Source organism: Homo sapiens, chromosome 6 (assembly GCF_000001405.40).
Source record: "Homo sapiens chromosome 6, GRCh38.p14 Primary Assembly".
Taxonomy (NCBI): domain Eukaryota; kingdom Metazoa; phylum Chordata; class Mammalia; order Primates; family Hominidae; genus Homo; species Homo sapiens.
In genome coordinates, this window is record NC_000006.12 from 116,868,718 (window position 1) to 116,884,630 (window position 15,913).

The window sequence follows — 15,913 nt, forward strand, 5'->3', positions numbered from 1 at the left end:
AGTACATACAATTTACATATACACAGACTTATAAGGTAACGATTATTTTTCATTTGGTGTATTTGTGTATATTAGTGCATTTTATCTTTATATGATCCCTTTGAAGTAAGTTTTATTATTCAAAATCTCCCTCACCTTTGAGTTCCTCTGTTCCCTTTTAAAAAATTAAAAAGCAAACAAAAACGCCCTCAAAAGCAAAAAATAAAAAATTGCTTCACATTTACTCTTCAGCTTCTCTACTAGCTGTTACTTCATCATCTCTAAAGTTAAGTCAACTTTTTGTGACATGCAAAGCAAAAGCCAATATGTTACTGTATCAGTTAGTTTTTGCTGTGTAACAAATTGCTTCAAATTTTAGTGGCTTTAAACAATATTTATTAGGACACAATTCTATGGGTCACCAATTTAAGCCAGGTTTGGCCAAGCTGAGCTTCACCAAGGCTCACTCCTGAGGCTGTAGTCAACTAGCAGGTCAATTAGAAATTGGTTATTTAAAAATGGCTTTGCTTGCATCACATACATGTCTGGCAGTGGGGTCTTTCTGGCTAGCAGTTTTTAATAGCTAGCCAGACCAACTGGTTATCAGCTGAAATAATGGGCTTAACACATCTACAACAAGCTAGCCTGGTCTTAGCCTCCTGGTGATGGTCTCAAGGTATCCAGCATGAGCAAGAGGTGAAGCCTCAATGCATGAGTTCTTTCCAAGCCTCTGCTTGTGTGGTTGCTAATAGCCAAGTTCAGAGGCAAGATAGGTGGGTATTACCAAAAGCATGGATGGAAGATGCATGAATCATTAGGGACCAATACTATAACAATCTACAGCAATCACCCTGTGTATATCCTCAAAATGTTCTTGAATCAGTCCGTTCTTTTCTATCTTCACCGTCATAGCCTAATCCAAGTCTTCGTTTTATCACTTGGTCTTTCTAACTTTCCTCCTCCACAATCCACTTACTTTTTATTATATTTTTCTTCCTAGTACCCCTCAGTGATTTGTTATTGTCCGTTGTGATAAAGTTGTACACATTTCTTAGCTTGATCAAGCCCTCTCAAGATCTGACCTTAACTCATGGTCTTTCATGTCTCATGATGATCCTTTTCTCTAACTGGACCCAAATACCAACTCCTCCAACCAGCTGTACTCTTTATTGCCGCTGTGCCTCTGTACATTCTATTCCCTCTGTGTGGAATGTATTTTCCCCACAATTCCACCTGTGAATGCAAACAAATCCTTCAAGGCTGATTAAATGTTGCATTCTCCGTGAAGCCTTCTGCCTGCCCTTCATGGACCCTTGCTTCTGTATTCCTAGAGCATTTTGTACATACCACCATGTTGTATTCTAATATATCAGCCTCCTCCATTAGACTGAGTATTGAAAATGAAATAAAATGTCTTATTTATATTTGAATCACCAGGTCATGATAAATTATTTTTGGTTGATGAAAGTAAGGATGAAGGGTGCCACCAATTTCCATTCACTTTTGTAACAAATATTTAATAGGTATCCACTATGTCCCAGCTGCTGTTTAATATATACATTTAATATTAAATTTGAGTTGCAACTTATATTTTTGCCATTTACTATGTGTGCTTATTACAATAGTATGTAAGGAGCAGTTCTTAAATACACATAGAGCAATAAATTATTTACTTTTGTATACTGACTAATATAATCTATTTTCTTTCTTCACTATTGCAAACAAACGAGTAGTCTTACATTAATCTAAAAAAGAGCATTAGACTATCTTTTATTGGAAATGGAAAGAAATGTAAGTTGTTTGTATGTGAAGAACAAAGGTTCTTGAAGATACTGGATGTTAAGGCTTAACAAAATAACTTTCAATAAAAAATAGAGTAATTTACATTAATTTAACTAAAGAAGTGAACATTGAAATATTTTAAATGTATTTTCTCTACATTTTAACAGTAACATTATAATAAACATACATTTCCCAAGCTTTAACATATTTTATGATTATATTTGCATCCCTAGAATTATATAAATATCTTCTATTTACAAACAATCATAAGTTAACTTTTACTAACAATTAAAAAAAACTCAGCTTCAAAATTTTTATTTTGAAATAACTTTTTTAAAAAGAGAGTAATGTAACGTTCCCTTCCTGTGTCCAAGTATTCTCTGTTACCTGCATGTTGTGCACATGTACCCCAGAACTTAAAGTATAATAAAAAATATATATATATTTAAAAAAAGAGAGTAATGTAATAAGCTCCTTTACACTCTCTATCCTAACACTTTTACTTTTCAAAATCACATATCAAATAAGAAATGAGCCTATTTGAATCCGTCACTCATTAAGGTTTATTGTATGAAGAGGTACAAGGGAAGAAGAATATCTCATCACAGCCCTAAGGAAAATCGAAGGAAATGTTTACAAACCTAAACGGGTTTCAACAGCACACATTCTCATTAAAGACACTTCTGGTTCAGGGTTAAATTGCCAGCTCTGGGCCCCAATTCAAGCTGAAGTTCCTGTCTTGGGCTTAAAAGACATGTCTATCTTTAGAATGATGGAGATAGAAGAGATAGTTGTTCAGGAAATTGTCTGACAATTGTGATTGTCAGTGCTGATAGTGAGTTCTGGTATAAAGTCAAAACAACCAACTGAGAAATTAATTACATAGAAAGTACTTTTTATTTTTCTTGATACTTCCTAAAGATTGCAATCTAGGAAATAACTTTTTCTTTCCATGCAAGACCTCCCCATTTGTCGCCAGGCTATACTGATTCTTCCTTTCAATAACATTAGTACCTGTCACTCTCCCCATTTCCAACCACATACTACCTTTCTGACTCCGATCCCTGACCAACTGGGATTCCTTTCCTGGATTTTCCCCAAATTAATTTGTCTTTTACATTGGTATGCAGTTATGGAAAAAAGAATGGTTCTGCCCACACAGAAACTGGACCCATCAACTCGGTCTCCTAAATCATAACCAACTGAATATATTTTATTTACCTTTCTCTCTTTTTTAATTGACTCCCTCAATCCTCTCAGCCATTTATTGATCCTTCCTTTTCTTCATCTCTCCTCTTCATTTTCCATTTCCCCCGTTACTTCTCTATTATCCTACATGCAATAAGGAAAAACATATGGCACAACCAAGATTGAAGGAGGAGGAAATTAGACTTGAAGAAGGAATGCAGACCTAATCTGTTGATGTTTATATGATAACAGGAAAACTGATAGTTCATATTTTAAGAACAAGCCTGGAAAATTTGTCGAAATTTTATAAATTTCTTCCACAGCAAAGTTTTGGACTAAGTAGTAATTCTTACCTGGTAAGCAGATTCTTAATTTTTAAAAATAATCTGGTTGGGTGCAGTGGCCCACACCTGTAATCCCAGCACTTTGGGAGGCCGAGTGGGGGTGGATAACTTGAGGTCAGGAGGTCAAGACCAGCCTGGCCAACATGGTGAAACCCCATCTCTACTAAAAATACAAAATTAGCTGGGTGCAGTAGTGTGTGCCTGTAGTCTCAGCTACTCAGGAGGCTGAAGCAGGATAATTGCTTGAACCCGGGAAGCAGAGGTTGCAGTGAGCCGAGATCTCACCACTGCACTCCAGCTTGGGCAGCAGAGCAAGACTCCATTGCAAAAAAAATCTGGCCTTTCTTATTTAAAAAAAATTTACTTTATTGAGGCAAAATTCACACAGAAGTCATCATTATAACCGTCTTGAAGTGTACAGCTCAGTGGCTTCTAGTACAGTCATAATATTGTACAACCATCATCACTATCCAAAACATTTTTGTCATCCAAAAAAGAAACCCCATACACATTAGGGAGTCACATCTCATTTCCCCTACTTCTAACCCCTGGCAAACCCATTAATCTACTTTCTGTCTCTATGGATGTGCTTATCCTGGACATTACATGTAAATGGATCACACAATATGTAGCCTTTTATATCTGGCTTATTTCACTTGACATGATGTTTTTAAGGTTCATACATATTGAAGCATGTATCATTGCTTCACTGTTTTGTTTCGTTTTATTTTTTTGAAACAAAATCTTGCTCTGTTGCCCAGGCTAGAGTGCAGTGGCTGCGATCTCAGCTCAGCCACCTGAGTAGCTGGGATTACAGACATGCACCACCATGCCCAGCTAATTTTTGTATTTTTCAGTAGAGATGGGGTTTTGACATGTTGCCCGGGCTGGTCCCAAACTCCTGAGCTCAAGCAATCCGTCAGCCTCAGCTTCACTGTTTTTTAATGACTGCATAATATTCCCTTGTATGGATATACCACATTGCGTTTATGTATAGAACAGCTGATGAACATTTTGGTTGTGTTGACTTTTTAACTTTTATGCATAATGTTGCTATAAACATTTTTACACAAGCTTTGTGTATGAATTTATGTTTCAATTCTCTTGAGTATCTACCTAGGAACAGAATTACTGGATCATATGTTTAACTTTTTGAGGAACTGTGAAACTATTTTCCACAGTGGTGGTATCATTTTACATTCCTACCAGCAATGTATGAAGGTCCCAATTTCTCCACAACCTCATTATCATTTTTAAAAAATTATAGTGGGTGTGAAGTGATACCTTATTGTGGTTTTGATTTGCATTTTCCTAATGAAAATGATATTGAGCATTTTATGTGCTTATTAGCCATTTATATATCTTATCTGGAGAAATGTCTATTTAAATCTTTTACATGTTTTTAAATTGGGCTATTGTCTTTTGATTGTTGAGTTGTAAGAGTTCTTTATATATTCTGATGGACGATTTTAAAATATTTGTCCATTGTGTGTTGTCTTTTCATTTTCTTGATAGTGTTTTTTGATGCACGCATTTTGGTGGAGTTCAGTTTATCTACCTTTTTTCTTTTATTGCTTGTACTTTTTGTATCACATTCAATAAACCTTTGCCTAATCCCAGGTGATAAAGACTTAAGGCAAGGTTTTAGTCCAAGAGTTGTACAGTTTTAGCTCTTATATTTAGGTCTTTGAACCATTTTTATTTTTGTATATAGTGTGAAGTAGGGTTCCAAACTCATTCTTTTAGATGTGGTTATATAATTGAAAAGGCTATATATCTTTTTCCACTGAATGGTGTTAGTACCTTTATCAAAAAATGGTATTTATTGCTTCGTGTATTTTGGGGCTCTGCTGTTAGGTTCATAACCTCACTTTACTTTTATTTGAAAGAAACAAAATGAAATTCATTAACAGAAAGCAAAGTACTTGCCGTATTTATAAAATAATTTTGGTGAACAGAAAAACAAATTAGGAGAGACATGAACTTTCACAGAAGAAAATTTCATAGTATATGATCACTCCAGATAATACTATGCCCAGAAATAATCTAGGCAAGGAGATGTTCCTCAAAATTCTTCTGCAGTGAAAGAGAGAAATTTTTTTTCCTTGCTTATGTGAACTAAAAGAGATCTAAAGTTTCAGAATAAAAAGATTAGATATGTTTTATTGAAGGCTTACTCTGTTTCAGGCACTGGACTAGTTTCTTCTTTATAATGTTTCATTTGATGCTTATATCAACTCTATAATGTGATGTCTTATGTCAGCAGGACTTGAGTCAAGTATTTTTCTACAAAAGCAATTTAAAGAAAGTGTTGCCAGGAGAAACAGGAAAGGGAGTAGGGGTAGCAGGACAGAGGAGGGCAAGAAGCCAACACAGATGGGATTTTAGGAATGGTCTAGTGGGAGATGGTTTCAGTCCGATCCCATAGAGGAGCTCTGGTTGTAAGTTGTACCTCAGATTTATCCAACATGAGATCAAGGTTCTCAACCATCAGTCATTGGCTAAGTGCTACTCAGGGGCACCTAGGCTCTATCTGCCTATGGGCAATGGTGGTCTGGTAGCTAAGGGCAGTTCCTCCAAAGAAAAGTCCCAGGAGCTCTCAGGTGGTGGTCTTGGGGCTGGTATTGGAAACCAAAGGAGGCAAAAACAGGGTGAGGGGTGCTCAGAAAATGTGGAAGAAATCCAAGGGGATCTGAGCAGAACACCCACAAAATCTACTATAGATATGTACTATTTTTTTCCAATTTTGAGAGAAGGAAACAGGCACAGAAAGGTTAAATGCCCAGAAGCACAAAGAGAATGAGTGCAAATGTACCTGACTCCAAATTCCTTTTCCTTTCCCCTTTACTCTTGTGCCTCCAGTCATGAAGACCCTGTAATTTGGGAACTTCAAAGAATCTTCTTTCAGACATCATGTGTTTTTATTTTTTTCCTTAAAACAGAATAAACTTTTTCAGGTTTTTTTACTTACAGTCTGTTAAACTGTAAGCAGAAATTTTTACATTAGCGTATTCATGGGCATTTTTCCCCCTGGGAGACAGTTGATAGCTTACAAAAATTTCTTAAAGAGTATATAAAAAATAAACATCTTACAAATCACTATTTTAAAAGATCATTCTCCATTTTTACCTATTTTCCTGCCTAGAGCTGCTTTTCTAAAACACTAGTCTCATGAGCTCAGATTAGTTATAATAATTACAAATAGCAAATTTAGAATATTGACAGCTTTTCCCCTCCTCTGCTTTCACCACATACCATACGTTTGAGAAGAACTGGCATTTATTCTTCTTTAAACGTTTGGTATAAATCACTCATGAAGCTATCTCATCATGTGTTTTCTTTATGTTGGAAGTTTTTTTATTACTGATTAAATTTATTTACTTGCTATAGGCCTATTTAGACTTCCTATTTTTGAATAGAAGCACAAATAACTTTCACATTATTTTGTTAGGCAAACAGATTTACTTAAAATTAAGGCAAAAAGTTCACTTAGGGCCTTAACTGATCGTGGTTTTTGTTTCCAATGATCTGTTCAATTGGATAATTGCCAGATTTTCACGTAGTGTCTGTATGACTTACACACACACACACACACACACACACACAAACACATTATCATATGGTTAGTATTTTAAAAAAGAAATTCCAGTAATTTTCCTGAACATTTTTCTTCTTATCATTTCATATAAGTAGACACAGTTAATCACTGGGACTCCCTTTACAGAATGAATCTGAGGGTATCTCTGTAAAGAGGCAACATTCTAAACTTTAGTACTGTACATACAGCTAAGCCCTCTGGTCTGAGCAGGCTCTGAGGCTTTCGGAGGACTGGGTAGAGAAAACTGGCAAAGTTGTCCTGAAGCACTGGAGGGGTATACCCACTTTAGGAGTGTGGAGGGGTGGGTAGCCCCATCCTGGATCTAGCTGCTGGAGGTACCAGATAAGGTGAAAACCTTTGACAAAGAGTTGCTGCCTTTCCCAACAAGTGGTACTAAAAATGGGGAGATTCAAATCCACTCATAATTTTAGCTGCTTTTGCTGTATTACTTAGACTGTATCGCTCCTTCCCATAATTCACCCTTCAGCCACCCACCACCTTGGATCCCATTTTGTTTGTTCTATGTTAAATTTCAATGTAATGTAGTTTAATATTGTCAAAGTCGAAGGCTGATTTCTCTCTCTAATGCTGCAAGAGAAGATGACATGCTGTAGGTTGTGATGAGGCAATGTGATCCAAAGCAGAATCCTTGCTTTTGTTGGAGAGCACTGGACATATAAAGACACTGGGCGTATTTGTCAAAAGAACAGAAGGTGGAAGGAAAGGAAGATGATCTGGCAGTCAGGTAACACCAATCCCAAGTCTCCACTGACCGCTCCCGTCTAAAGAGAGCACAGATTATAGTTTGCCCCCATGAGATTGCCATTTTGGGTTGGAAGATGGTCGCAATTTCATTTTTCACTTAAGCAAACGTCCGTTGCCGTACTGCTAGGTATGAGATGAGTAATCGTCAGGGACGCGTTTAAATTACAAAATAATGGTAAATGGGAGAGAAAGAATCTTTTCTCGGGGTTGAGGCCAGATCCTCCAGGGCTGGGAGACCCAGGAGTGCGGGCCACTGTGCACCCTCGAGCAAAGCAGTGTGTGACGAGATGGGATCTTCCCTCAAATGCTGAGAAGAGCCCTCGCCAATCCCTCGGAAGGTTCCCAGAATAAAAAGCCCGGTCCCTGCTGTGCAAAGACTGAGCGGTACTCCGGTGTACTTTTTCCCTGTCCCAGGCGTGCAGAGTCCACGCCGCGCGGCCAGGTGCCCCAATAGTGTACCTGAAAGTAGGGATGGGGCCAGTTACAGCTGCACTTTCCCTGCAGAAGACAGTGAGCCTTCCCGGGATCTTTCTGGGAGCTCTGAGTGTGAAAACGGTCCTCCGGCCAGCGCAGGTTGAGAGAACGGGAAGGAGGGGGAAGCTGTGGGCGCCCAGGGCGTGACAGGCGCAGGTGAGAAAGTGAGTTTCGCGGGAGCATCTGCCGGGACCGCAGACAGGTGGAGAAACGCAGTCCCACCGCGGCCCACCGCGGCTCCCGGGCGGCCTGGGCTGTACCTGTGCGCGGCGTCCTTTCTGCGCTGAGCCAGGGCACCCCGGAGCCTGCGGCCTCCTTCCCCGCCCCTGCGGCCCCGGGTCCCAGCCCCGCCCCGCCCCGCCCCGGGCTGGGGCTCCGCTGGGGAACCGGCCGAGCGGCGCGCGCGGAGGTGTCCGGCGGCCAGGAGGATGGCCAAGGTCCCGGAGCTGGAAGACACCTTCCTGCAGGCGCAGCCTGCGCCCCAACTGTCCCCGGGGATCCAGGAAGACTGCTGTGTGCAGCTCCTGGGCAAGGGCTTGCTAGTCTATCCGGAAGAAACAGTGTACCTGGCGGCCGAAGGGCAGCCCGGGGGCGAGCAGGGCGGCGGGGAGAAAGGCGAAGACCCGGAGCTGCCGGGGGCAGTGAAATCAGGTGAGTGCTCTGCCGCATCCGGAGCTGGGAAGGGGACGGGGACGTATTCTAAGAAGGGCACCCAATAATAATAATGCATCCCGAACAAACATAAGGCAGATATAGAATGTTCTGTCCAAATCTTTGTATTTCCTCAGTAAAATGTCAAGTAGAGACCTGACATTTTGCATAGCCCCCCTTTCCTCCCCTCCGCCCCCACCCCAGTAGGCTACTCCTTTGAAGTTAAGGTACACTTAAAGGCGACTTAGTTGATTTTATATTCTATTTTTCTTTATCATCCCTTCAACTGGCAATCAGAAATGCACTTAAACAATGGTAACTTTTCCTCTGAAGAAGAGGACGCCGACAACCACGACAGCAAAACCAAAGCAGCGGATCAATACCTGTCTCAGAAGAAAACCATCACGCAGATTGTGAAGGATAAAAAGAAGCAGACACAGCTCACGCTGCAGTGGTGAGACTCGCCCGCAGGGTACACTGAAGCACCTGTTGACGTTTTAACAGCCAGCGTCTTCAGGATCTTTGATTTTCACAATTTACTTCTTCCTCAAACTTTTTGGGAAAGTTTAAAAAACCAATTAGAATTTAACCCAGAATTTTTTTCACTGAATTTTTAGTATAGAGACTTATACAAGTACTGGTGAAGGATTTGCAATACAAATGAAAACCACATTACGTTGTTCCTTATTGACTAAAACCATATTTTCTTCAAATGTAAGCATTAATGAACGTTTTTATGACTTACTGGCTTAATATGCAATCAGTTCAGTCCTTACATATTTGTTGTTTGATAGTTTTTGAGATTATAAAATATGATTCTTAAAAACAACTTAAAATGAGGAAGGATCTTAACACTGCCTTTATTCAAAAGAGGGCAAATTAAAAATAGTGTATACTCCATAAGATGAACTGTGTTTGAGGTAGAAGACATAGAAAAAATCGGTTAAGATATCTATACTAACTTAAATAGAAGTTCAACTATTTTTATACCATCTATCATATATGATTTATAATAATAAAATATTACAAATTGGATTTTGTGGAAAATCTTTTAAAACCAAGAATTTATCAGTAGGATTTCCACATAGAGTGAACATTTTGTAATATCTATCTAAAAGAAAGACGGCTCTAAAGTAAAAGCATTATATTAAACTTTCCTACGTAGTGGGAAGAAATAGGAGCATAAATTTCCTCACAAATTCCAAGTAAAAAACAAACTAATAAAAAGGACTATATATTTACTGATTAGTTACATAACCTAATTTTGTGTAAAGTATGATCTAAGGAGCCTTAGAAAAATACAAGATAAAGAACTAGTAAATTTTATTTTTATTATTTATTTAAATATTAAATTACAATTTACATATAGTAGTTTTTTGTGATTATATGCTTGAACCCTTTCAAAATATTTGAAATATAAGCCAAATATTCATCTAAAGTTGGAGTTTAACTATTGAAGTTGATGTCGTGGTTACTAGTTAAGAATATACTAGAGCAGTTAAGTAATTGAGTTAAATATCTGGGATATTTAGGATACAACTATTTGCAGCAGGATAACTGGGGCAAAAGTGTTTTGATTTCAGATATATTATTGAGCTGTTTCGAATGATTACTCCATTTTTTCCATTTAAATTGAGTGTGTGGAAATATATGTTTCTTTTATGAATAAATGTATACATAAATATATATAAGTTAAGATCAAAGAAAAAACTTGTACCCCAAATGAACATCATACTTATGTCTAGGATGATTTAATATTTTGAAGACAAAGACAATGCCGACTACAACAGTATCAAAATAGCAAGATGAAATGTGAACATTGTGTACATGTAATTAAAATATAATTTTTAAATAGATAAACTAGAACTGAAAATCAAAGTGAAAAAGCTGGCTGATTAATTCCAGTTTTCACTATCAACTAGTATGTCAACTGATTTTATGTACATATATTGATTTCATATTTTGAAACACTAGATCTTAGTTTTTGGTCTTTTTTTGTTCTTCATTAAAAAAATGAGTGATATTTTACCTGTTCAGGGAATACTTTCTTTAGCCTTTATCTTGTACACATTAGGATATTTTAAATCAAATCTTTGAAGGGTTTCATCCAATTTTAATCTGCAGACTCTATATTGCATCGTTTCTGCATTATAATAAATATTATCTTACTATACATAAAATTGGTATAAGTAAATTTTAGTCAAAATCACCTACTGAACTGTTAGGAAAACTGGGATTGGAATCTAAAAGTTTAATTTCTACATTGCTGTTTAGAAAGTTGTAACACAAATATGTATTTATTACATTTATATAAGTTATGCTTAGTTACAAATTAAATGGAATTACTTCAAATTTTCAAAGGTTATATAGTTATTTTTATAATATAAAGTTGAAGGTATATATGTTATGTTTGGAGATATCTATAGAGAATTACATTATCTTTTAAGTGTATAGGATGTTTTAGATAATTATAGTACTGATGACAGTAGTAAAAAGTATAGGAATAGAAATATATCAGTGTCATTTCAGACTTAAGTAAAATGAGTTTATCCTCATGTGTTTTGCAAATAAATGCATCATTGTCCTTCCCTAATTATTCAGGGCTGAGAAATAGGTTTTGAATGAAAGTGAGAGAATGTAAGCATTTGCCAACCTGAAGCTTGACAGCCCTTTAGTACTAAGAATGTTTTAAAAAATACCCATCATCTTCAATTTCACCATTCATATTTATATGTCACAGAGCAAATCATGATGAACCATGAGGTTTATATAGAAGACCTAATATTTGTGATGTGGACCAGGCATGGTTTTATGTTAGCCATGATATTTTAACTGTACTAGCAGATTTTTCACTGGGGTTTTGTACTTTTAACATTAATCCTTATAATTTGATTTTTAAAAAATATCCAGAATAAACGAAGTCTACTTATGTCTACTCATTACCTCATTTATAGAGTCCATATTCAAAATGGGTAATAAGTCAATGAGAAAGTTGAAGGAAAAGGAAATAAAATATTTGACCTAATTTTTGTTCCTTTTTCTTAGGCTTGAAGAGAATTACATTGTATGTGAAGGAGTTTGCTTACCACGGTGCATTCTTTATGCACACTACTTAGATTTCTGTAGGAAAGAGAAATTAGAGCCAGCCTGTGCGGCCACCTTTGGAAAGGTAAATGACACGTATTGGCTATAGTGACTTATAACTAAAGTCATGTCAGGCAGATAGCATGAAAATGAATTCATCTGTGCAAGTTCTCTTAGAGAATATTGAGACATTTGTTTTGCAGGCATAAATTGTCTTAAGGACTCTGTTTGGAATTGCTATATGTTTATAACTTGATTTTGAATATTAGAACCCTAACTATTAGAAGATCTAATGTGAATTTAAAGCAAGCTTTGTTTAAGCAGTAGCATTTGCCTTCAAAGAGGGATGCATTAAAGTGTATAGTATGGCCTGTGGTAAGAAGCAAAATTAAGTGGAGGTGACAAGTCTCTTGCTAATGCAATTAGTGGTTAGTGGTTATCCATACTATTTACCTAGTCCAAATATATGAGTTTTTAATAGGTTTTAAAATGTATTAAAATTTCTCCTAATTCTCCATTTCACTCTATGTTTACATTCCAAATCCCAAGATTTTATGATGGGATGGGTTAGAATTCTCTCATTTAAAAATATTTCTTTCTACCCAACCTGTGTGGTTAGGATGGGAATCTATATAACTGACATTATTATGCTTATATATAGAGAGAGAGACATCACTTTGAGAATCAATATGAATGTCTTAAGAAAGCCTTGTTCTTTAAGATTCATGTCATGCTGTGTTTGAGAACCTAGGATATCCCAGAAAAACTTTAGGAAGCTTGGGTCTCAAATATTGTATCTTACACAAATTGAAATCCAGATTCTAACCTGTAGAGGGACTCATTGTCCAGAAAATAATGAATACTACAGTCCAGCTTCTCATTTAAAAAATAATGTTATTTATTTCAAAAACCTATCTATTTACAGAGAGAGTGTGATATTATACATTGTAATCAGGTAACCTGGGTTCTAGCCTAGACTGGACTAATTTATTGTGAGACCTTCTGAAAAGCACTTAATCTCTTTAAAAATCTGTTTACTCATTCTATTAAATGAGGAGTTTGGATAAGACAACTTCTAATATCCATATTAACATTACCATTTTGTGAGTCTACCTTATGGGAATAATTCTTAACTGTTTGGCAGTCATGAAGCACCTTGAAAACCTGGTAAAACTGTAGAGCCAGCCTCCAAGAAATTAATACATACATAGTTTGCCATGGAGCTCTTTAAAGTTCATGTATGGATCTTCAAAGATTGAGGTTAAAATTGTTTTATGTAGAAGACTTTTTAAAAAATGTTTAATCAGATCCTAATTTTAGCAACTTTAGAGAAAGGAACATACAAAACAAAAAATTTATAACATTATAATGGAGATACAGTAAGGCAGAGAAAGTTTTATATGTCCTTTGGGGTTGGGAATAGATTTTTAATTGTGGGTAAATCTCTGTATGGAATTATATGAAGAGACCCAAATCTTCTCACTCCATACATAAATAAAGTAATAATTGCTTTGGTAGTACCATCAAGCAAAAGCAGATATTGGTATGATCTGCCTTAGAAATCAAGACAAGGTCAGTAGAGCACTTCAATCAAAAAAGTACCTCCCTGCCTCTGCTGATGTATTGCTTATCAATATGTGTAAGTTATTACTTTTTCCAGACTAAGTATTCACTCACAGTTCATTCAGAGTTCAACATTTACTTTCCCCAAGTAATTGGCTATGAGTGGCTTGCATTAGGACCATATACTTTCTAACGCCTAAAGTAATCATCTTTCTTTTTAGACAATTCGCCAGAAGTTTCCCCTCCTAACAACAAGGCGGCTTGGAACAAGAGGCCATTCAAAGTAAGATACCAGTGAACATATTCAGGTTCTGCTCTTGTGCATGAAGATTGACACAGATGTAAAATAAGTATTGTCTTTGTCAGTACAAAGAGAACCAGGTATTCTCTTGATGAAGCAGACTTTTATCAACTGTGAGAACTGAAAAAAAAAAAAAGATTTTAGAATAATGTTTAAAAAGCAAATTTTACATTTGAAAATAATAATGTATTATTATTTCTGCTGAAATAATTTAAATGAGTCATTTTCATAATCTTAAAGCTGTTACTGAAGGCACCAGTGTTATGAGGAGGAATGCAACGCTCCCAAAGAGCAAGGCCCAAACCAGGGGGTAAAGAGCTTTGAGTAGGAAGGAAGTGCCTTAGCATGCTTCAGGTTCTTCCTCTAGTTTTCTTTCTGAGACAATAATTTCTTGATATCTCCTTCTCTTCTCTTTAAGACAAATGACATGCACAGATGACCTGTTTGGTCATCTCTTAAGGTAAATATAAACATAAACTAAGCTGTCACACATTCCCCCTCTTTATGTCTTTAAATTTTCCTCTCTGTTGTGGCAGTCTCTGGAGAACTCCCAGGTACAGTTTCTCATTCAACAGCTATTTTCTATGCGTACTGTGTTTTCAGTTTCTCCTTTCCTTCTGCCTATGAGCATGTCCAGATCTCCTTTATGCTGAGAAAGAAAAAAGTTCCAACCTTCATGATTGCTCTAGTATTTCCCCCTTTGAGCTGTTGCTTCCCTTACCACTGATCACATCCCTCTGACCTAGTCCATTTCCTACCTGGGCAAAAATCCAATGGCTGGTTTTTACTGTTACTCATCTTCCTTGGCTCCTGCTTAGCATTTGAACCAACTGATAATGCCCTCTTAAAATAAATACAGAAAACTACCTCTATAGCTTCTCTGTCATAGTACTATCTAGGCCCTCTTCCCTCTTCTACCACTCCTTTTCTGGCTTGTCCACTGCCTCCTTCTGCCCTGACATCACATCCAGCACTGATCAATGAAAGTATAATGTGGCCACATATTTAATTCAAAAATTTCTGGAAGCCACGTTTAAAAAGTAAAAAGGAACAAGCGAAATTAATTTTAATGTTTTATGTAATCCAATTTATCCAAAACATTATTATCTCACTATGGAATCAATATAAAAATTATTAATCGGATATTTTACATTCTTCTTTTCATACTACGTTTTTGAAATCTAGTGTGTATTTTACACTTACATCACATCTCAGTTTAGACTAGCCACATTTCCTGTGCTTACCCCCACATATGGCCAGTGGCTTTATTGCTTTATTGGATAGCTCAGCTTTAGACACTTGCAAAAACATAGGTCCTACTTTTTGAATTCTTTTGAATATGACTCTCCTCATTGCTACTTTCATAGCCTGGCCTTGACTCTGTCTTTCTTGTCCATTCATGCAATTTTTCCAAACTGACCTTTTAAAGTTGAGATTCAATCATATCTCTTCCATGTTCAAAACCTCCACTGGCTCATAATTTCTACTATTAACAACAAACTTTCCTCAACTTGACATTCAAGGTCCATCATGATTTAGTCCAAGTTCATTTTACTATGTCACCTATTTCTTACTTTCTAGCATGTAGTCTATGTGCTCACCAAATAATTATCCCAGTAACCTTTGATTCACTCCAACTGCCAGTCTTCTGTTTAAGTTTATGCTGTCTTCCCCTGGAGAATGCCTTTTCCCATATATGTATGTTGAAATTTTACCCATTTGAAAGAATGTCTCTTGAACTTCTTCCTTTAGATCTTTTTTTAGTCCATTGATTTATTGTAGGTCCCTTCTCTGCACCCTGTGGCAGTTTGCTGGTACCTATCTTAATGTGAAATTAACTTATCTCCTCCTCTAAACAGATAATACATATTTTGAGGACAGAAACTTTGTCTCATTCACTTTTATATTCTTTCTGTTGGTCGATATATAATAGATTATCAATTAATACTTATTTAATTGATTGCAATTAATGTTAACATTATTGTGGCCTGGAAAGAATAAATAAAGTGCCAGATTCAAAAAGGCAAAATGGGTCCCTTCCTTCTAACCAAGTCAACTTTATTTCAAAGTTTGATCAGTTTAACTGACTGATTTCTACTGAATTTGATTCCTACTGAATTGTATTGGTTGAGGAAAGATCAGATAGTGTTTAAAGTAAATAGATAGGGGGAAAAGAGGCCGAGC

The 15,913-nt window shown here is 36.6% G+C and overlaps 1 protein-coding gene across 3 annotated transcripts in view, besides 4 other annotated features; it reads left to right on the top strand.

The window, feature by feature from the left end:
• Window positions 7,576-8,535: an enhancer, noted in NCBI's record as "H3K4me1 hESC enhancer chr6:117197456-117198415 (GRCh37/hg19 assembly coordinates)". NCBI's record gives its function as "activates a minimal SCP1, AML or CMV promoter by ChIP-STARR-seq in primed H9 embryonic stem cells {active_cell/tissue: H9 hESC(primed)}" and the evidence as "EXISTENCE:reporter gene assay evidence [ECO:0000049][PMID:30033119]".
• Window positions 7,576-8,790: a biological region, named in NCBI's record as "RFX6 promoter region". NCBI's record gives its function as "regulatory_interactions: LOC128667231 | RFX6".
• Window positions 7,998-8,790: a promoter, noted in NCBI's record as "fragment used in RFX6 promoter constructs". NCBI's record gives its function as "drives transcription of RFX6 by reporter assays in VCaP prostate cancer cells {active_cell/tissue: VCaP}" and the evidence as "EXISTENCE:reporter gene assay evidence [ECO:0000049][PMID:24390282]".
• The window catches only part of RFX6 (regulatory factor X6), a 54,920-nt gene continuing 47,531 nt past the window's right edge, over window positions 8,525-15,913 (top strand). For 2 of the 3 annotated variants that reach the window (NM_173560.4, XM_011535589.2), the window contains exons 1-4: window positions 8,525-8,781; window positions 9,079-9,235; window positions 11,827-11,950; window positions 13,650-13,711. In NM_173560.4, coding sequence (NP_775831.2) covers window positions 8,559-8,781; window positions 9,079-9,235; window positions 11,827-11,950; window positions 13,650-13,711 — 566 coding nt within the window. In that variant the 5' untranslated portion in view covers window positions 8,525-8,558. The other variant, XM_017010477.2, reaches the window with a different exon arrangement.
• Window positions 8,536-9,494: an enhancer, noted in NCBI's record as "NANOG-H3K4me1 hESC enhancer chr6:117198416-117199374 (GRCh37/hg19 assembly coordinates)". NCBI's record gives its function as "activates a minimal SCP1, AML or CMV promoter by ChIP-STARR-seq in naive H9 embryonic stem cells {active_cell/tissue: H9 hESC(naive)}" and the evidence as "EXISTENCE:reporter gene assay evidence [ECO:0000049][PMID:30033119]".